The 21,779-nt window shown below is 39.6% G+C and overlaps 1 long non-coding RNA gene across 2 annotated transcripts in view, besides 1 other annotated feature; it reads right to left on the bottom strand.

The window, feature by feature from the left end:
- The window catches only part of LOC105371348 (uncharacterized), a 154,623-nt gene that overhangs the window by 82,156 nt on the left and 50,688 nt on the right, over nucleotides 1-21,779 (bottom strand). The gene's annotated exons all lie outside the window — the stretch shown is intronic.
- Nucleotides 11,154-12,353: an enhancer, noted in NCBI's record as "CDK7 strongly-dependent group 2 enhancer chr16:75854062-75855261 (GRCh37/hg19 assembly coordinates)". NCBI's record gives its function as "activates an origin of replication core promoter dependent on BRD2, BRD4, P300/CBP, MED14 and CDK7 cofactors, with strong dependence on CDK7, by STARR-seq in HCT116 cells {active_cell/tissue: HCT116}" and the evidence as "EXISTENCE:reporter gene assay evidence [ECO:0000049][PMID:35650434]".

Raw genomic sequence — 21,779 nt, 5'->3', positions numbered from 1 at the left:
ACCTATCAGATTAACAGCAGATTTCTCAGCAGAAACCCTACAAGCTAGAAAGGACTGGGGTCCTATTTTTGCTTCCTTAAACCAACCAATTATCAGCCAAGAATTTTGTATCCAGCAAAACTAAGCTTCATAAATGAAGGAAAGATATAGTCTTTTCCAGACAAACAAATGCTGAACAAATTTGCCACTACCAAGCCAGCACTACAAGAACTGTTAAAAGTGGCTCTAAATCTTGAAACAAATTCTCAAAATATACCAAAATAGGACCTCCTTAGAGCATAAATATCACAGTACCTATATAACAATAACACAATAAAAAAAAACAAGATATTTAGTCAACAAATAGCATGATGAATAGAATACTAACATTGAATGTAAATGGCCTAAATGCTCCACTTAAAATATACAGAATGGCAGAATAGATAAAAATTCACCAACCAAGTTTCTGCTGTCTTCAGGAGACACCTAACTCATAAGGACTCACATAAACTTAAGGTAAAGGGATGAAAAAGGATACTCCATGCAAATAGACACCAAAAGAAAGCAGGAGTAGCTATTCTTATATCAGAAAAATCAAACTTTAAAGCAACAGTAGTTTAAAAAGACAAAGAGGGACATTATATAATGATAAAAGGACTAGTCCAACAGGAAAAATATCACAATTCTAAATATATATGCACGTAACACTGGAGCTCCCAAATTTATAAAACAATTACGACTAGACCTAAGAAATGTGATAAATGGCAACACAATAATAGTGGGGGACTTTAATGCTCCACTGACAACACTAGACAGGTCATCGAGACAGAAAGTCAACAAAGAAACAACAAAGAAACTATGCCCTACAACAAATGGACTTAACAGATATTTACAGAATGTTCTACCCAATAACCGCAGAATATGCATTCTATTCATCAGCACATGGAACATTCTTCAAGACAGAACATATGATAAGCCACAAAACAAGTCTCAGTAAATTTAAGAAAATTGAAATTATATCAAGTACTCTCTCAGACCACAGTAAAATAAAATTGGAAATCAACTCCAAAAGAAACTCTCAAAACCATGCAAATATGTGGAAATTAAATAACCTTTTCCTGAATAAACTTTTGGTCAAAAATGAAATCAAGATGGAAATTTAAAAATTCTTTGAACTGAACGATAATAGTGACACAACCTATCAAAACCTCTGGTATACAGCAAAAGTATTGCTAAGAGGAAAGTTCAAAAAGTCCATCAAAAAGTTTGAAAGAGCACAAATAGACAATCTAAGGTCACACCTCAAGGAACTGCAGAAACAAGAACAATCCAAGCCCAACCCCAGCAGAAGAAAAGAAATAACAAAGATCAGAGCAGAACAAAATTAAATTAAAACCAAAAAAAATGCAAAAAAGAATGAAACGCAAAGCTGCTTCTTTGAAAAGATAAATAAAATTGATAGATCATTCGCAAGATTAATCAAGAAAAGAAGGGAGAAGCTTCAAATAAGCTCAATTCGGAGATATTATAACTGATATCACAGAAATACAAAAGAGTATTCAAGGCTACTATGAACACCTTTACACACATAAACTAGAAAACCTAGAGGAGATGGATGAATTCCTGGAAATACACGACCCTCCTAGATTAAACCAGAAAAATATAGTATCTCTGAACAGACCAATAACAAGCAGCAAGATTGAAATGGTAATTTTAAAGTTGCCAATAAAAAATGTCCAGGACCAGATGGATTCACAGCTGAATTCTATTGACATTCAAAGAAGAATTGGACCAATCCTACTGACACTATTCCACAAGATAGAGGAAGAGGGAATCCTCCCTAAATCATTCTATGAAGGCAGTATCACCCTAATACCAAAACAGGGAAAGACATAACAAAAAAAGAAAACTACAGACCAATATCCCTGATGAACATAAATGCAAAAATCCTTAACAAAATACTAGCTAACCGAATCCAACAGCATACCAAAAAGATAATCCATCATGATCAAATGGGTTTCATATCAGGGATGCAGGGATGGTTTAACATATGCAAGCCAATAAATGTCATACACCACATAAACAGAATTAAAAACAAAAATCACATGATCATCTCAATAGATGCAGAAAAAGAATCTGACAAAATCCAGTATCCTTTTATGATTAAAACCCTCAGCAAAATCGGCATACAAGGGATATACTTTAAGGTTATAAAAGTCATCTACAGAAAACTCACAGCCAACATTATACTAAATGGGGAAAAGTTGAAAGCATTCCCTCTGAGAACTGGAATGAGACGAGGATGCCCACATTCACCACTTCTATTCAACATAGTACTGGAAGTCCTAGCCGAAACAATCAGACAAGAGAAAAAAATAAAGGGCATCAAAATTGGTGAAGAGGAAGTCAAACTCTCACTGTTTGCTGTTGATATGATTGTATAGCTAGAAAACTCTAAAGACTCATCCAAAAAGCTCCCAGAACTGGTAAATAAATTCAGAAGTTTCAGGATACAAAATTAATGTCCACAAATCAGTAGCTCTGCTATACACCAACAGTGATCAAGCTGAGAATCAAATCAAGAACTCAACCCCTTTCACAATAGCTGCCAAAAAAAAAAAAAAAAAGAAATACTAAGGAATATGCCTAACCAAGGATGCAAAAGACCTCTACAAGGAAAACTACAAAACAGTGCTGAAAGAAATCATAGATGACACAAACAAATGGAAACACATCTCATAGTCATGGATGGGTAAAATCAATACTGTGAAAATGACCATACTACCAAAAGCAATCTACAAATTCAGTGCAATTCCCATCCAAACACCATCATCATTCTTCACAGAACTAGAAAAAAAAATCCTAAAATTTATATGGAACCAACAAAAAGAACCCGCATAGGCAAAGCAAGACTAAGCAAAAAGAACAAATCTGGAAGCATCACATTACCCAACTTCAAACTATACTATAAAGCCATAGTCACCAAAACAGCATGGTACTGGTATAAAAATTGACACATAGACCAATGGAACACAATAGAGAACCCAGAAATAAACCCAAATACTTACAGCCAACTGATCTTCAACAAAGTAAACAAAAACATAAAGTGGGGAAAGGACACCCTATTCAACAAATGGTGCTGGAATAATTGGCAAGCCACATGCAGAAGAATAAAACTGGATCCTCATCACATTATACAAAAATCAACCCAAGATGGCTCTATCTTTTACATAAAGTGGGGAAAGGACACCCTGTTCAACAAATGGTGGTGGGACTTAAGTCTAAGACTTGAAACCATTAAGACTCTAGAAGATAACATCAGAAAAACCCTTCTAGACATTGACTTAGGCAAAGACTTCATGACCAAGAACCCAAAGGCAAATGCAACAAAAACAAAGATAAATAGATGGGACTTAATTAAACTAAAAAGCTTCTGCACAGCAAAAGAAACAATCAGCAGAGTTAATGGACAACCCACAGAGTGGGAGAAAATCTTCACAATTTATACATCCAACAAAGAACTACTATCCAGAATCTACAAAGAATTCAAACAAATCAGCAGGAAAAAAAACAACACCATCAAAAAGTGGGCTAAGGACATGAATACGCAATTCTGAAAAGAAGATATACAAATGGCCAACAAGCATATGGAAAAATGCTCAATATCACTAATTATCAGGGAAATGCAAATCAAAACAACAATGCAATACCACCTGACTCCTGCAAGAATGGCCATAATAAAAAAAAAAATAGATGTTGGCATGGGTGTGGTGAAAAGGGAACACTTTCACACTGTTGGTGGAAATGTAAACTAGTACAATCACTACGGAAAACACTGTGGAGATTCCTTAAAGAACTAAAAGTAGATCTACTGTTTAATTCAGCAATCCCACTACTAGGTATCTACCTAAAGGAAAAGAAGTCTTATACAAAAAAGATACCTGTACACACATATTTATAGCAGCACAATTTGCAATTGCAAAACTATGGAACCAGCCCAAATGCCCATCAGTCAATGAGTGGATGAAGAAATTGTGGTATATATATACCATGAAATACTACTTAGTCATAAAAATGAATGAAATAATGGCATTCACAGCAACCTGGATGGAATTGGAGACTATTATTTTAAGTAAAGTAACTCAGGAATGGAAAACCAAACATCCTATATTCTCACTCATATGTGGGACTTAAACTGTGAGAACACAAAGGCATAAGAATGATACATTGGACTTTGGGGAATCAGGGAAAAGAGTGTGGGGTGGCGAGGGATAAAAGACTACACCTTGGGTACAGTGTACACTGTTCAGGTGATGGGTGCACCAAAATCTCAGAAATCACCCCTAAAGAACTTATTCATGTAACCAAACACTACCCAAAATCTATTGAAATAAAAAAATTAAGAAGTTAAAAAAAAAAGATGCCAAATACTGATGAGGAGGTGAATACGAAGAGGAGTGAGAAATGACCAAGGGATCAAGCAACCTGGAAGTCACGGGAGATATTTTTAAAAAAAGTTTTGTTACAATATTAGGGATAAAAATTTGACGGAGTTTGAGCCAAGATGGCCGAATAGGAACAGCTCCGGTCTACAGCTCCCAGCGTGAGCGACGCAGAAGATGGGTGATTTCTGCATTTCCATCTGAGGTACCGGGTTCATCTCACTAGGGAGTGCCAGACAGTGGGCTCAGGCCAGTGGGTGCGCGCACCGTGCGCGAGCCGAAGCAGGGCGAGGCATTGCCTCACTTGGGAAGTGCAAGGGGTCAGGGAGTTCCCTTTCCGAGTCAAAGAAAGGGGTGACGGACGCACCTGGAAAATCGGGTCACTCCCACCCGAATATTGCGCTTTTCAGACCGGCTTAAAAAACGGCGCACCACGAGATTATATCCCACACCTGGCTCGGAGGGTCCTACACCCACGGAATCTCGCTGATTGCTAGCACAGCAGTCTGAGATCAAACTGCAAGGCAGCAGCGAGGCTGGGGGAGGGGCGCCTGCCATTGCCCAGGCTTGCTTAGGTAAACAAAGCAGCCCGGAAGCTCCAACTGGGTGGAGCCCACCACAGGTCCAGGAGGCCTGCCTGCCTCTGTAGGCTCCACCTCTGGGGGCAGGGCACAGACAAACAAAAAGACAGCAGTAACCTCTGCAGACTTAAATGTCCCTGTCTGACAGCTTTGAAGAGAGCAGTGGTTCTCCCAGCACGCAGCTGGAGATCTGAGAACCGGCAGACTGCCTCCTCAAGTGGGTCCCTGACCCCTGACCCCCGAGCAGCCTAACTGGGAGGCACCCCCCAGCAGGGGCACACTGACACCTCACACGGCAGGGTATTCCAACAGACCTGCAGCTGAGGGTCCTGTCTGTTAGAAGGAAAACTAACAAACAGAAAGGACATCCACACTGAAAACCCATCTGTACATCACCATCATCAAACACCAAAAGTAGATAAAACCACAAAGATGGGGAAAAAACAGAACAGAAAAACTGGAAACTCTAAAACGCAGAGCGCCTCTCCTCCTCCAAAGGAACGCAGTTCCTCACCAGCAACGGAACAAAGCTGGATGGAGAATGACTTTGACGAGCTGAGAGAAGAAGGCTTCAGAGGATCAAATTACTCTGAGCTACGGGAGGACATTCAAACCAAAGGCAAAGAAGTTGAAAACTTTGAAAAAAATTTAGAAGAATGTATAACTAGAATAACCAATACAGAGAAGTGCTTAAAGGAGCTGATGGAGCTGAAAACCAAGGCTCGAGAACTACGTGAAGAATGCAGAAGCCTCAGGAGCCGATGCGATCAACTGGAAGAAAGGGTATCAGCGATGGAAGATGAAATGAATGAAATGAAGCGAGAAGGGAAGTTTAGAGAAAAAAGACTAAAAAGAAATGAGTAAAGCCTCCAAGAAATATGGGACTATGTGAAAAGACCAAATCTACGTCTGATTGGTGTACCTGAAGGTCACAGGGAGAATGGAACCAAGTTGGAAAATACTCTGCAGCATATTATCCAGGAGAACTTCCCCAATCTAGCAAGGCAGGCCAACGTTCAGATTCAGGAAATACAGAGAACACCACAAAGATACTCCTCGAGAAGAGCAACTCCAAGACACATAATTGTCAGATTCACCAAAGTTGAAATGAAGGAAAAAATGTTAAGGGCAGCCAGAGAGAAAGGTCGGGTTACCCTCAAAGGGAAGCCCATCAGACTAACAGCTGATCTCTCGGCAGAAACCCTACAAGCCAGAAGACAGTGGGGGCCAATACTCAACATTCTTAAAGAAAAGAATTTTCAACCCAGAGTTTCATATCCAGCCAAACTAAGCTTCATAAGTGAAGGAGAAATAAAATACTTTACAGACAAGCAAATGCTGAGAGATTTTGTCACCACCAGGCCTGCCCTAAAAGAGCTCCTGAAGGAAGCGCTAAACATGGAAAGGAACAACCGCTACCAGCCACTACAAAATCATGCCAAAATGTAAAGACCATCGAGACTAGGAAGAAACTGCATCAACTAACGAGCAAAATCACCAGCTAACATCATAATGACAGTATCAAATTCACACATAACAATATTAACCTTAAATGTAAATGGACGAAATTCTCCAATTAAAAGACACAGACTGGCAAATTGGATAAAGAGTCAAGACCCATCAGTGTGCTGTATTCAGGAAACCCATCTCACGTGCAGAGACACACATAAGCTCAAAATAAAAGGATGGAGGAAGATCTACCAAGCAAATGGAAAACAAAAAAAGGCAGTGGTTGCAATCCTAGTCTCTGATAAAACAGACTTTAAACCAACAAAGATCAAAACAGACAAAGAAGGCCATTACATAATGGTAAAGGGATCAATTCAACAAGAAGAACTAACTATCCTAAATATATATGCACCCAATACAGGAGCACCCAGATTCATAAAGCAAGTCCTGAGTGACCTACAAAGAGACTTAGACTCCCACACATTAATAATGGGAGACTTTAACACCCCACTGTCAACATTAGACAGATCAATGAGACAGAAAGTCAACAAGGATACCCAGGAATTGAACTCAGCTCTACACCAAGTGGACCTAATAGACATCTACAGAACTCTCCACCCCAAATCAACAGAATATACATTTTTTTCAGCACCACACCACACCTATTCCAAAATTGACCACATAGTTGGAAGTAAAGCACTCCTCAGCAAATGTAAAAGAACAGAAATTATAACAAACTGTCTCTCAGACCACAGTGCAATCAAACTAGAACTCAGGATTAAGAATCTCACTCAAAGCCGCTCAACTACATGGAAACTGAACAACCTGCTCCTGAATGACTACTGGGTACATAACGAAATGAAGGCAGAAATAAAGATGTTCTTTGAAACCAACGAGAACAAGGACACAACATACCAGAATCTCTGGGACGCATTCAAAGCAGTGTGTAGAGGGAAATTTATAGCACTAAATGCCCACAAGAGAAAGCAGGAAAGATCCAAAATTGACATCCTAACATCTCAATTGAAAGAACTAAAAAAGCAAGAGCAAACACATTCAAAAGCTAGCAGAAGGCAAGAAATAACTAAAATCAGAGCAGAACTGAAGGAAATAGAGACACAAAAAACCCTTCAAAAAAATCAATGAATCCAGGAGCTGGTTTTTTGAAAGGATCAACAAAATTGATAGACCGCTAGCAAGACTAATAAAGAAAAAAAGAGAGAAGAATCAAATAGACACAATAAAAAATGATAAAGGGGATATCACCACCGATCCCACAGAAATACAAACTACCATCAGAGAATACTACAAACACCTCTACGCAAATAAACTAGAAAATCTAGAAGAAATGGATAAATTCCTCGACACATACACTCTCCCAAGACTAAACCAGGAAGAAGTTGAATCTCTGAATAGACCAATAACAGGAGCTGAAATTGTGGCAATAATCAATAGTTTACCAACCAAAAAGAGTCCAGGACCAGATGGATTCACAGCCGAATTCTACCAGAGGTATAAGGAGGAACTGGTACCATTCCTTCTGAAACTATTCCAATCAATAGAAAAAGAGGGAATCCTCCCTAACTCATTTTATGAGGCCAGCATCATTCTGATACCAAAGCCGGGCAGAGACACAACCAAAAAAGAGAATTTTAGACCAATATCCTTGATGAACATTGATGCAAAAATCCTCAATAAAATACTGGCAAAACGAATCCAGCAGCACATCAAAAAGCTTATCCACCATGATCAAGTGGGCTTCATCCCTGGGATGCAAGGCTGGTTCAATATACGCAAATCAATAAATGTAATCCAGCATATAAACAGAGCCAAAGACAAAAACCACATGATTATCTCAATAGATGCAGAAAAGGCCTTTGACAAAATTCAACAACCCTTCATGCTAAAAACTCTCAATAAATTAGGTATTGATGGGACGTATCTCAAAATAATAACAGCTGTCTATGACAAACCCACAGCCAATATCACACTGAATGGGCAAAAACTGGAAGCATTCCCTTTGAAAACTGGCACAAGACAGGGATGTCCTCTCTCACCACTCCTATTCAACATAGTGTTGGAAATTCTGGCCAGGGCAATCAGGCAGGAGAAGGAAATAAAGGGTATTCAATTAGGAAAAGAGGAAGTCAAATTGTCCCTGTTTGCAGATGACATGATTGTATATCTAGAAAACCCCATCATCTCAGCCCAAAATCTCCTTAAGCTGATAAGCAACTTCAGCAAAGTCTCAGGATACAAAATCAATGTACAAAAACCACAAGCATTCTTATACACCAACAACAGACAAACAGAGAGCCAAATCATGAGTGAACTCCCATTCACAATTGCTTCAAAGAGAATAAAATACCTAGGAATCCAACTTACAAGGGATGTGAAGGACCTCTTCAAGGAGAACTACAAACCACTGCTCAAGGAAATAAAAGAGGATACAAACAAATGGAAGAACACTCCATGCTCATGGGTAGGAAGAATCAATATCGTGAACATGGCCATACTGCCCAAGGTAATTTACAGATTCAATGCCATCCCCATCAAGCTACCAATGCCTTTCTTCACAGAATTGGAAAAAACTACTTTAAAGTTCATATGGAACCAAAAAAGAGCCCGCATCACCAAGGCAATCCTAAGCCAGAAGAACAAAGCTGGAGGCATCACACTACCTGACTTCAAACTATACTACAAGGCTACAGTAACCAAAACAGCATGGTACTGGTACCAAAACAGAGATATAGATCAATGCAACAGAACAGAGCCCTCAGAAATAACGCCGCATATCTACAACTATCTGATCTTTGACAAACCTGAGAAAAACAAGCAATGGGGAAAGGATTCCCTATTTAATAAATGGTGCTGGGAAAACTGGCTAGCCATATATAGAAAGCTGAAACTGGATTCCTTCCTTACACCTTATACAAAAATCAATTCAAGATGGATTAAAGATTTAAACGTTAGACCTAAAACCATGAAAACCCTAGAAGAAAACCTAGGCATTACCATTCAGGACATAGGCATGGGCAAGGACTTCATGTCCAAAACATCAAAAGCAATGGCAACAAAAGACAAAATTGACAAATGGGATCTAATTAAACTAAAGAGCTTCTGCACAGCAAAAGAAACTACCATCAGAGTGAACAGGCAACCTACAAAATGGGAGAAAATTTTTGCAACCTACTCATCTGACAAAGGGCTAATATCCAGAATCTACAATGAACTCAAACAAATTTACAAGAAAAAAACAAACAACCCCATCAAAAAGTGGGCGAAGGACATGAACAGACACTGCTCAAAAGAAGACATTTATGCAGCCAAAAAACACATGAAAAAATGCTCATCATCACTGGCCATCAGAGAAATGCAAATCAAAACCACAGTGAGATACCATCTCACACCAGTTAGAATGGCAATCATTAAAAAGTCAGGAAACAACAGGTGCTGGAGAGGATGTGGAGAAATAGGAACACTTTTACACTGTTGGTGGGACTGTAAACTAGTTCAACCATTGTGGAAGTCAGTGTGGCAATTCCTCAGGGATCTAGAACTAGAAATACCATTTGACCCAGCCATCCCATTACTGGGTATATACCCAAATGACTATAAATCATGCTGCTATAAAGACACATGCACACGTAAGTTTATTGCGGCATTATTCACAATAGCAAAGACTTGGAACCAACCCAAATGTCCAACAATGATAGACTGGATTAAGAAAATGTGGCACATATACACCATGGAATACTATGCAGCCATAAAAAATGATGAGTTCATGTCCTTTGTAGGGACATGGATGAAATTGGAAACCATCATTCTCAGTAAACTATCGCAAGAACAAAAAACCAAACACTGCATATTCTCACTCATAGGTGGGAATTGAACAATGAGATCACATGGACACAGGAAGGGGAATATGACACTCTGGGGACTGTTGTGGGGTGGGGGGAGGGGGGAGGGATAGCATTGGGAGATATACCTAATGCTAGATGACGAGTTAGTCGGTGCAGCGCACCAGCATGGCACATGTGTACATATGTAACTAACCTGCATAATGTGCACATGTACCCTAAAACTTAAAGTATAATAATAAAAAATAATAATAAATTAAAAAGAAAAAAAAATTTGACATGATGACTTCATGAAGGGGATAGGAGAATTTGAAAAGCACGTATATAAGAAATAAAATTAATTTGACTGGAAAGTCCATTAATTTTACCTTTTAAAAATCCACAAGTTTTTTCAGAATAAGCTTCTCACTAATCTAAAATTTTGGCTGTGAAGTTTTTGCTGAGGCACCAGACTCCAGGGGTATGAAGGAAACGAGTAATCAATGGATCCTTCGATTAGAGTTTGTAATTAAAGAAAGAGCTAGCAAGTGCATGGAACTTTGAAAGATCTAAAGGGAAAGCAAATGTGATCGTTTTAATATGTTTGGTCTGTGAGGTAAATGGAGAGAGAAGCGAGCAAATGGGCTTCTACAAGGGTTCAAAGTGAAATGAGCAAAAGCACAAGTGAAGGAGCTGACTTTAGGAAAGAAGCAAATGATTCTTCCCCAGAAACCATGGAGATAAATGAGCAAGTGACGACACAACAGGGTTTCTCAGTCTTAGGATCACTGACATTTTGAGCTGGATAATTCTTTGTTATAGGCTGTACCGTGCATCACAGGACATTTAGCATCTCTGACCTTTACCCACTAGATGACAGTAGTGTTCTCTCCCTTGTCATGACAACCCCAAATGTCTCCAGACACTGCCAACTGTCCCCTGAGGGGCAAAGCCACCTTGGTTGAGAACTGCTGATATAGAGATATGTTGAGGAAGAGAGAATTTCACTGTGTGTGCTTGAATACCAGGAGGAATTCGAATGGCAACTGCATGCAAGGTGTGAGAACAGGCTGGATGATTAAGAGAAAAGAAGGGTGGAAGGAATTCTTAATATCAATAGGTACTTTACCCTATGGTGGCTTTGTTCTGTGTTAACTTAGCTCACTGGGACTGTTAACCAGAATCCCCTTTCCCTGGACAGTTCTAGATTCACTTGGGCCACCAGGGACATTTAACGTGAGACGTGGAAGGTGGAAGTGAAATGGATGCCATATTCTCCTGCTATTCGCAAGGCTGGAGCAGGGCTGCGGGCGCTGTTCCCAGCACTCCTGCAGCTCATGCTCATTCTAATCTGCTGACTCACCTTGGCGTGAAGCAACACCCAGGCTTTAGCTCCTCCAAATACTGCTGGATCATCCACCTCATCAAAGTGGGAGGCCTGGAGGCTATGAGCCTCACCTGAGTTCCATTTCATCCTTGAGAACTCCAGCCCTTCCTTGCAGGTTCTAATCTGTACTCACTCTCTCCTACTTCTTGTCCATCTTTCTTCTCATCCATCTTCTTCCATCCTTCTTCCTGACCAAGCTGACTGCAAGCTGCAGCAGCCAACACAGATGCAGTAACTGTGCATAAACTCTTTAACAAGATCCCTCCATTGTCTATAGTCAAACCCCTACAACAAATGCGACATTCTCCACCATTTGTTTCCTGCTGCCTATGTGTCCAGTACAACAACCACTATAAATTGTTTCAGTATCTTTATTTTATAGATGATGAAACTGAGACTCGGAAGGCTAATTAACTCTATTAAGGTCCCTCATTTATTAAGTGGCAGGCACAGAGTTTGAACAACATCTGCCTTCCTTTAAAATCACTCTCCTTCCACCATGCCCATCTGCAGTGCTAGCGGCTTCATGAGGTAAAGAGTAGAATTTTAAAAATTTCTTGACCCTGATCTATTGATAAATTACTCCACACTTTTTATTCTAATAATGGTGGTAAGTGAAACAATACCCCTTCCAAGGAAGCATTTAATGATTTTTAGAGGTTGGAGGTACAAAACTAAAAGATAAAATGTGCTTGCTCTTCACAGTTACAAAATTAAGAAGAGTTTCAGTTCTCTACTTTTGATTACTGCATAATGCTTATGAGCCACTAACATTTGGGGGTAGCAGATGTCCTGGAAGTTTAGAAAGGACCTTAGTCAGCCCATCAGCATTCAGTTTAATCAGGACTAGGAAAGAGTGATCAGGGATTGCATGGCTATTATTTGTACCATGGCAATGCCCTGGCTCTCCTTTCCTGCCTCTCACCACCAGAGGCAAAGCTGCTACGTCTTTCCTCCCTGAGTTATACTCACAGTAAAAACAGCAGTAACATTTATAGTACACACAGTCCTGTGGCAATAGGTCATGATAAAAACAAGTCTTGCTGATATTACCAAAAGCAACATAATCACCAAGGCGTTGATGAAAATGTATCCAGTTCTACGGGTGAACAACTCTCCACATATGTACCTCTGTGTCTGCTATAGAGTATACGGTCCTGAGGTACAAGTATCAAATCTATGAATTTCTTTCCAAAAAGACTAGAATCATAGAATGTCAACACTGGAAGAGATTTTTTTTTCAGATCACCTAATGCATTCCCATTCCAAATGGATGAAGCCATTCTAAAACTCACCCAGTAGTCATGCATGTTCTTCTTGTACACTCTAAAATACCAGAGCATTGGCCAAATCAAAAGAGAGCCCATGTCATCCTCTTAACAACTGAAAGCTAGGATGCACCTCCTGCTTTGAGCTTCTATGGAATGCCTGCTCATTGTTATAACCTAAGGCTGTTAGAAGAATCATTTTGCATCACTCACAGTATGTCCTCTCCCCCAAGTAAGTATACACTATGCTTGATTTACAATTTAATGCATGCTCTATTGTTGTAATAATGGCAGTAATATTGAGACTACTAAATACTAAGCATGTACTTTCTAAGCCAATTTTTTCCATCAGTAACATTCTTGTTAGATTGATTATTGGAAGGGTTATTAATGATTATGGCTTTTGCCTTTTTTTTTCATTTTATACTATGGTCATGCTGTGGTTATAAGTTCAAAAAGGTAATAATTATTTTAGTTATCATTTCGAAAAGCCTCTTTTTCATGCTTTCCACAGAAAATTATTCATTTGAACAAAGTTTTGTTTTCAAAGCTATAGTAAATGTCAGATATGCGGTTTTTTATCTTATAAAAATAAGCTTGGTAATCAAGTCCACTTTAATTTCACCATTTTATTGTCTGAGAATAGTATGAAATTTTAAAATAGAAGAGTTTCAACAAAACATAGAAAGCATTTTTATAGAAATTATCAAATTATTTCACATATTCTCCACAAATTTCTGTAAGTGCAAGATGGATTTTGATACATTATTCCCTTTTTAAGAGTTGGAAAAACTGAGTCACAAACAGCTCCTACTAGTTTTGCAATCCCACAGCCATCTGCCAAAAGTAGAAGGGAGGATTTGAAATGACCAGTCTTCTGCTTTGTAACCAGAGCATAATGTCTCCGGGAATGCCTTATATTTTACCTCATCAGAGCCTGACTCCCGTAAGAGAAAACAGAAAGTGCAGATATGGACAATATAAATGACCTTCAGAAAAAAATTTCAGACATGGCCAATGTGTGTTAAAGCAGAGTATATCAGAATTAAGAACTAATTTATCCATTTAGTTTCTCAGCAACTGGATTATTATCTGTCTTCTGAATAAATCTGCTTTTAGGATGACTGCGCTCTGATCAGTTATAGGTAAAATATTTTTAATAAGAAAACTGAGAAGGGATTGTTTCTTTCAGATAAAAGGATGGAAAAGTCCTAGTGGGAAAAAAAAAAAAAGCTGGAAGTAATAGGAACAAAGTTTGAAAATTCAATACTCTATGGCAATACTCTATGGGAAAAAATACAATTTAGTATAGGACTCAATAAATAGTTCTTTTAAATTACATTATTTGTTAAAATTAAGTTGTGTTCTGGGTTTTTAAAATCAAAGTGAATATACTGTGGCAATCAGTGATGTAAGAAAAAAATAAATTAACACTACTCAGAATATAGCGAATGTGATTGAGTTGGTGCCAATACTTGTTTATGGGAGGGAGTGTTATTCTGGTAAATGAAAGTTGCAAATTGTTTTAATAGGTTCATATACAATGAAAGAGGAATTGTAATACAGTTTTTCTTCTGAATGCTCCAATTTGCACTATTCCAATAATTTCTGCTTCAATGACTGCATATTGATCTTCGTTGTGTATTATCTTTTCTTAAATTATTTGTAAGTTGGAAGAAGGGTTCACTCACATGAACACTAATCCAAATTCTGGTGAAACCACCTGATCTTCCATCAGCACACTATTTCATTCTCAAAATAATGCCCATGGGTTTTTTGTGGATTTTTTGTTTTGTTTTGTTTTTTTGCCTTCAATATTCAGGAGTTGGCTATCCAATACATTTATATTTATTTTCCTTGCTTTCCCTTCATATTTGATCTTTGTTTCTGCATGAGTCATTTCACAGCTAAGTAATTTCCCTACCTTCCGCATGAGAAGAAGAAAGACAAAATAATGTAAACTATTCTAGTCGTGTCAAAAGAGAAAAAATGGAAAAGGACTAAACTGTTACAATGTCAATGCCTGCTGGTCCCGGTTTCTCCTATTACTTTCAGCGTTCCTCTGGGTATGAAAAAGCCTTTGACCTGCAACTCTACCTCTACCCCACTCAAAGGTGGAGCCGATTCTGCCAAACCTATCTATATATGTGGTAATAAATGCACCAGCACCATGTCTGCGTGGTTGCCAATAGTCTTGCTTCCCCAGTCCAAGAAAGTGTTGGGTATGGCATGCTTATTTAGCATTTTCCCTTCAAATTGACTCCTAAAGAATGCAACTTGTTGATGGGGTTGTTTGTTTTTTTCTTGTAAATTTGTTTGAGTTCTTTGTAGATTCTGGATATTAGCACATGTACCCTAAAACTAAAAGTATAATAAAAAAAAAAAAGAATGCAACTATTCTTTCTTTTCCTGATGATATTCTGTCTTCCCTACAGGGTCTAGGGTCCTCCTTGAACTTGCTCTCATGTGGATAGATTTCCAACAATGAACCTAGCCAGCTCCTCCTCCCGCCCTTGACGTCCCCTTTTCCCAGAGGCCAGTATGTGCACCTGTAACATCAGACACAATTTCAAAGAAGACATAACCTTGGGAACTCTGAACCATCCATTGATGACGAATATTTTCACTACCTAAAGATCCCCACAAAGCAGCCCCATGCAATGGCATAGTTGGCTAGGAAACTGCTTTCTTCAGCCCTTTCCTTATGGACAATGTTGTGGACACTTAGCCACTTTATTTGAAGCCAACTTGGCCTTTGCTTGTTCTACTAACTAGCCCCTGCACTTTCCTGCTTCTCTCTCCACCCCTCACCAGCCAACATTCAAAGTCCTATACCATCTTATGTATTTTAGGTCAATTTAATCTCACTTTTTGTTTACCATTTCTTACTCCAGATAATCAAAATTTTCAGCAACTATGGTAACTGATGTTAAGTTTCTCTACGGTAAGTTTCTTTTTAGCAAGGTTGATAGAATATTCAATAAAACTGGGCACAAAATAACAAGCCAGCCTCCCTGTGGTTACATGAAAGCTTTGATGAATGTGAAGAAGGTCTGGAGGAAGAACCAAATAACCAAAAGAGTTGGCTGAGCATTGATGTTTTACTTGGCCATGTGCTAAGGAACTTGTGGATACTTAAAAAAAAAAAAAAACTAAAAATGTACAAGATCATGCTGTCTTAATCATTGCTGCATCCCTTGTATTATCAAGTAGATTGCCATAGTGGGTTTCTATAAACATTAGTTGAGTAAATTACTGAATGATGAGTAGAGGATTGTGGGGAAAAGAAAGAGAGATCAGATTGTTACTGTGTCTGTGTAGAAAGAAGTAGACATAGGAGACTCCATTTTGTTCTGTACTAAGAAAAATTCTGTCTTGAGATGCTGTTAATCTGTAACCCTACCCCCAACCCTGTGCTCCCTGAAACATGTGCTCTGTCAACTCAGGGTTAAATGGATTAAGGGCTGTGCAGGGTGTGTTTTGTTAAACAAATGTTTGAAGGCAGCATGCTTATTAAGAGTCATCACCACTCCCTAATCTCAAACTACTCCCTAATCTCAAACCACTCCCTAATCTCAAGTACCCAGAGACACAAAACACTGCGGAAGGCTGCAGGGACCTCTGCCTAGGAAAGCCAGGTATTGTCCAAGGTTTCTCCCCATGTGATAGTCTGAAATATGGCCTCGTGGGAAGGGAAAGACCTGACCGTCCCCCAGCCCGACACCCGTAAAGGGTCTGTGCTGAGGAGGATTAGTAAAAGAGGAAGGAACGCCTCTTTGCAGTTGAGATAAGAGGAAGGCTTCTGTCTCCTGCTCATCCCTGGGCAATGTAATGTCTCAGTATAAAGCCGATTGTGTATTCCATCTACTGAGATAGGGGAAAACCGCCTTAGGGCTGGAGGTGGGACATGCTGGCAGCAATACTGCTCCTTGAGGCATTGAGATGTTTATGTATATGCACATCAAAAGCAGAGTACTTTTTTTTTTTTTTTTTGAGATGGAGTCTCGCTCTGTTGCCCAGGCCAGACTGCGGACTGCAGTGGCGCAATCTCGGCTCACTGCAAGCTCCGCTTCCCGGGTTCACGCCATTCTCCTGCCTCAGCCTCCCGAGTAGCTGGGACTACAGGCGCCCGCCACCACGCCCGGCTAATTTTTTGTATTTTTAGTAGAGACGGGGTTTCACCTTGTTAGCCAGGATGGTCTGGATCTCCTGACCTCATGATCCACCCGCCTCGGCCTCCCAAAGTGCTGGGATTACAGGCGTGAGCCACCGCGCCCGGCCTTTTTTCTTTACCTTGCTTATGATGCAGAGGCATTTGTTCACGTGTTTACTTTCTGACCTTCTCTCCACTATTATCCTATTATCCTGCCACGCCCGTTAATGATCAATAAATACTAAGGGAACCCAGAGGCCGGTGCTGCCGTGGATCCTCCGTATGCTGAACGCCGGTCCCCTGGGCCCACTTTTCTTTCTCTATACTTTGTCTCTGTGTCTCTTTCTTTTCCAAGTCTCTCATTCCACCTAACGAGAAACACCCACAGGTGTGGAGGGGCAACCCACCCCTTCAAGGATCTTGCACCTGAATTCAATATCAAAATTAACTGAATAAATATCAGTTATATGAGAACAGTGCCAAAAAAAAAAATGAGGTTCTGGCCACAACAATACTATAAAAGTTAAAAGTAAAAACAGAATCGAATGTAGTAGAGAAATTGAGGACTACCTAGAGAATTTAGAATTAATTTGATCTTAAATTTTGCACAAAGTTTAGCATCAGACATTCCTGGCACATGAAACAGAATACGTGGATACCTGTAGGTGCATAAGTGCATGGCCCAATAAGGAAGATTGGTTTACAGGAGGGGAGAATGTGTTGGAAATACAGTTAGATGGATGGATTGGGGCTAAACATAAAGATTGTTAAAACTCAGGCTGAAAAGGACTCGGAAAAGCACTGAACAAGTTTGAATGTGGTCAAGCAGTATGCTTTCTCTATGTATCAAGACATTAGCTTCCTCTCCATCTCACTAATTCCATTTTCCAAGAGATGCATATTTATTTCTTAGGCTCTTTGTTACACATAAGACCCCAGGATAGGCAGGAGGGTAAAGACATAATTCTTATCCTCAAGAGTTCATGGTAAACAGGGAAGAGAGACACAATCAAGTAAAAGACAAAGTAGCATGGGCTGTCATGGTGTCAAATGCTGGTTCCCCCAAAGTATCACCAAAGCATGCGTTGATAAAACAAAGCTGAGTTACTGCTTGCCATGGTAAGGGAGAACAGTAGGTCAACAGAGCCTTAGTAATATCCTAGAGAGGATAGGGCAAAGTCAAAATTTTTTTTTTTTTTTTCGAGATGGAGTTTCGTTCTTGTTGTTCAGGCTGGGGTGCAGTGGCATGATCTCGGCTCACTGCAACCTCCGACTCCTGGGTTGAAGCAATTCTCCTGCCTCAGCCTCCCAAGTAGCTGGGATTACAGGCATGCGCCACCAAACCCAGCTAATTTTTTTATATTTATTTAGTAGAGACAGGGTGTCACCATGTTGGTCAGGCTGGTCTCAAACTCCTGACCTCAGATGATCCACCCTCCTCGGCCTCCCAAAGTGCTGCGATTACAGGCATGAGCCACCACGCCCAGCCAAGATCTTCAACAAGACTTTTAACTCTAGTTTAAAGCAGGTCTTTCAATATAGAGGCCTGATTAGAATTGAGTAAGGATCATAGTTTAGGATTGGTGAACACAGTAGTGCAAGATTTTTGAAGCAAAGGGTTCAAAGAGTCCTTTGTAAACTGTTCACTGATGCACTCTATTAAGTTGATAGGACTCTGTAAATCCTTGGAATAAAAAATAAAATTATTTACAACTTGTATCTTCCTCAAAAAGAGTCTCATGAAATAGTAAAGTTGTGTTGAAGACAATGAGGGAGAAAACATTTGCAAACTATTCATCTGACAAAGGATTAGCAACCAGAATATCAAACAACTCTATAGGGGAAAAAAATATAATAATCCCATTTAAAAATGGGCAAAGGATCCAAATAGACATTTCACAAAAGAAGACATATGAATGGCAAACAGGCATATGAAAAACTGTTCAACATCATTGATCAGGAGAGAAATGCAAATCAAAATACAGTAAGATATTATCTCACCGCAGTTAAAATGGCTTTTATCCAAAAGACAGGAAATAATGAATGCTGGTGAGGTGGGGAGAAAAGGGAACCCTTGTACACTGTTGGTAGGAATGTAAATTAGTACAACTACTATGGAGAACAATTTAGAGGTTCCTCAAAAAAACTTAAAATAGAACTACCATATGATCCAGCAATCCTACAACTGGTTATTTATCCAAAGGAAATGAAATCAGCATGTCGAAGGATATCTGCACTCCCGTGTTTATGGCAGCGTTATTCACAACAGCCAAGACCTGGAAGCAACCTAAGTGTCCATCAACAGATGAATCGATAAAGAATATGTGGCACATACATGCAATGGAGTACTATTCTGCCATAAAAAAAAAGAATGAGGTCCTGTCATTTGCAACAACATGGATGGAACTGGAGGGCACTATGTTAAGTGAAATAAGCCAGGCACAGAAAGACAAACTTCACATGTTCTCACTCACTTTTGGAAACTAAAAATTAAAATAATTAAACTCATAGAGATAGAGAGGAAAATGATGGTTACTAGAGGTTGGGAAGGGTAGTGGGGGAGCGGGGGAAGTGGGGAAGGTTAATGGGTATGAAAATGCAGTTAGATAGAATGAATAAGATCTAGTATTTGATAACGCAACAGGGTGACTACATTCAACAACAATTTATTGTACATTTTGAAATAACAAAAAGAGTGTAATCGAAATGTTTGTAACACAAAGAAATGATAAATGCTTGAGGTGATGGATACCCCATTTACCTTGATGTGATTATTACACATTGTATCCCTATATCAAAATGCCTCAGGTACCCCGTAAATATATACACCTACTATGTACCCATAAAAAAATAAAAACAGCACATGCCTGTAGCCCCAGCTACTCAGGAGGCTGAGGGTGGAGAATCACTTGAACCTGGGAGACAGAGGTTGCAGTGAGCTGAGATGGTGCCACTACCCTCCAGCCTGGGTGGCAGGGCAAGATTCCATCTCAAAAAAATAAATAAATCATTTTAAAAAAGGAAAAGAAAGAAAAATTGTGTTGAAGACAATGAAATAATCAAGTCAAGTGAATGTAGACCATATGCTATATCAATGGCTTTGATTCTGTATAGAGAAACTTGCACGCAAAGAGCACAGGAAGCAGAAGCGAACAGAAAAGGGCCTAGATCCACGAGGTGGAATCTAAGAAGGTTTCAAAAAGGTGGCCTGTGTGCCAATACCTTATTTCACACTGCATGCTTGTATCAAAACATCTCATGTACCCCATAAATATGCACACCTACTATATACCCACAAAAAAACAAAAATAATTTTTTTAAAAATTTGAAATGAGCATGAATTTGTCTGGTGTACAAAAGTAAGAAAAATTTCAAGGCAGAATGGTGTGAAAGCAAAGGCTGAAAGAATGCATGTGATCTGAGGGACTGTAAGTTGTTTCTATAAGCACAAGACTTTCCCTGCAGTTCTAAAATAGAAACGGATGTACTTCTACTGTATCACTCGTAATGATTCACGGTATATTGTTAGAAATGAACTTTTTGTGTAAGTTAAGGATAATTTTAAAAATTATTCCTGAAACCACTTTTGTGTTTTCAGACAAGCTTGAAAACATGTATGATTTGGGGGTGAGGGCGAACTTAAAAGCCAGGGTCGAGACCACTTAGTTCTCCCCCTGCATGTGAGGGAGTTTTTGACAAACGAACTTGGAGATAAATCCCGATGGAGTATGATCGCTGTGCTGTATAACAAAAGAGATGGCCTCGAAGGAGATGTGATCAGAAAATAAATTTGAAAACAAAAGCCTGATTTGATGCAAGAACATCAGGAAACCAATCAGCGTGGGATTCTCTTAATAGCCATCACCAAAACCCTGCATTCCTCATTCCTTTGATGCCCTTGTCTGATAACACTCAGGGCACCCCCAGCTGGCTCTTCCGTGAGCTGATCAAACCCAGTTCCAACAGCCAGTGATGAGCACAGCTCAGATTCGACAAACTGCAAGCCTGCTCACCCCACACCTGAGAGCCTAGACAGATTCCAAACAACCAGCTAATTAAACCTGGAGCACCAAGCTATCATCATTCGAGATTCATGGGCATCCAACGAGCAGAAGAACTAGCAACACGGCATTCGGCAACAGCTGTCACCTGCTATAATGTTCTTTAATTATCTTAAAATCTGTAAGAACTGACAAATGGGTGACAAAATGCAATTTTCTGTGTCAGGAAGCGAGAGTCAAGCCTGCGTTACTTTGATGAGAGGAAATACTGTAAAATCATCTCTCTCAGCTCTTCTTATTGGGGTTGGGGGGGACTGTTGTCACTCAATTCTAGTCTATCAACACTCTCATTACAGGACTCTTGGAGGGACAGGTTTCCTTCTTTATAAAGATTGAGTAGGAGAGGTTAGAATGTGCACTGGGCTGTGCCAAGCTTGTCCCCATAGCCTCAGTACTTCTTCCAAAGTCAGCGCCAGCTCCAGCCCTAGCCCCACTTTCACCACGCTACATATGTACCCCCGCCCCAAGATGCATTCCTGGGGTGGGCCATTAGCAAAGACCCTCCAGGTTCCCAGGAATCATGTCATGCCTCTTGCCATCAATTTCTCCAGGTCCCTGTCCAAACAGTGGCCTGATTCCTTTAGGCTGCGGTGATGTTTATGACCTCCATAAGGATTTCC

The sequence above is a fragment of the Homo sapiens genome, chromosome 16 (assembly GCF_000001405.40).
Source record: "Homo sapiens chromosome 16, GRCh38.p14 Primary Assembly".
NCBI lineage: Eukaryota > Metazoa > Chordata > Mammalia > Primates > Hominidae > Homo > Homo sapiens.
This window is presented reverse-complemented; position numbering and strand designations above follow the sequence as displayed.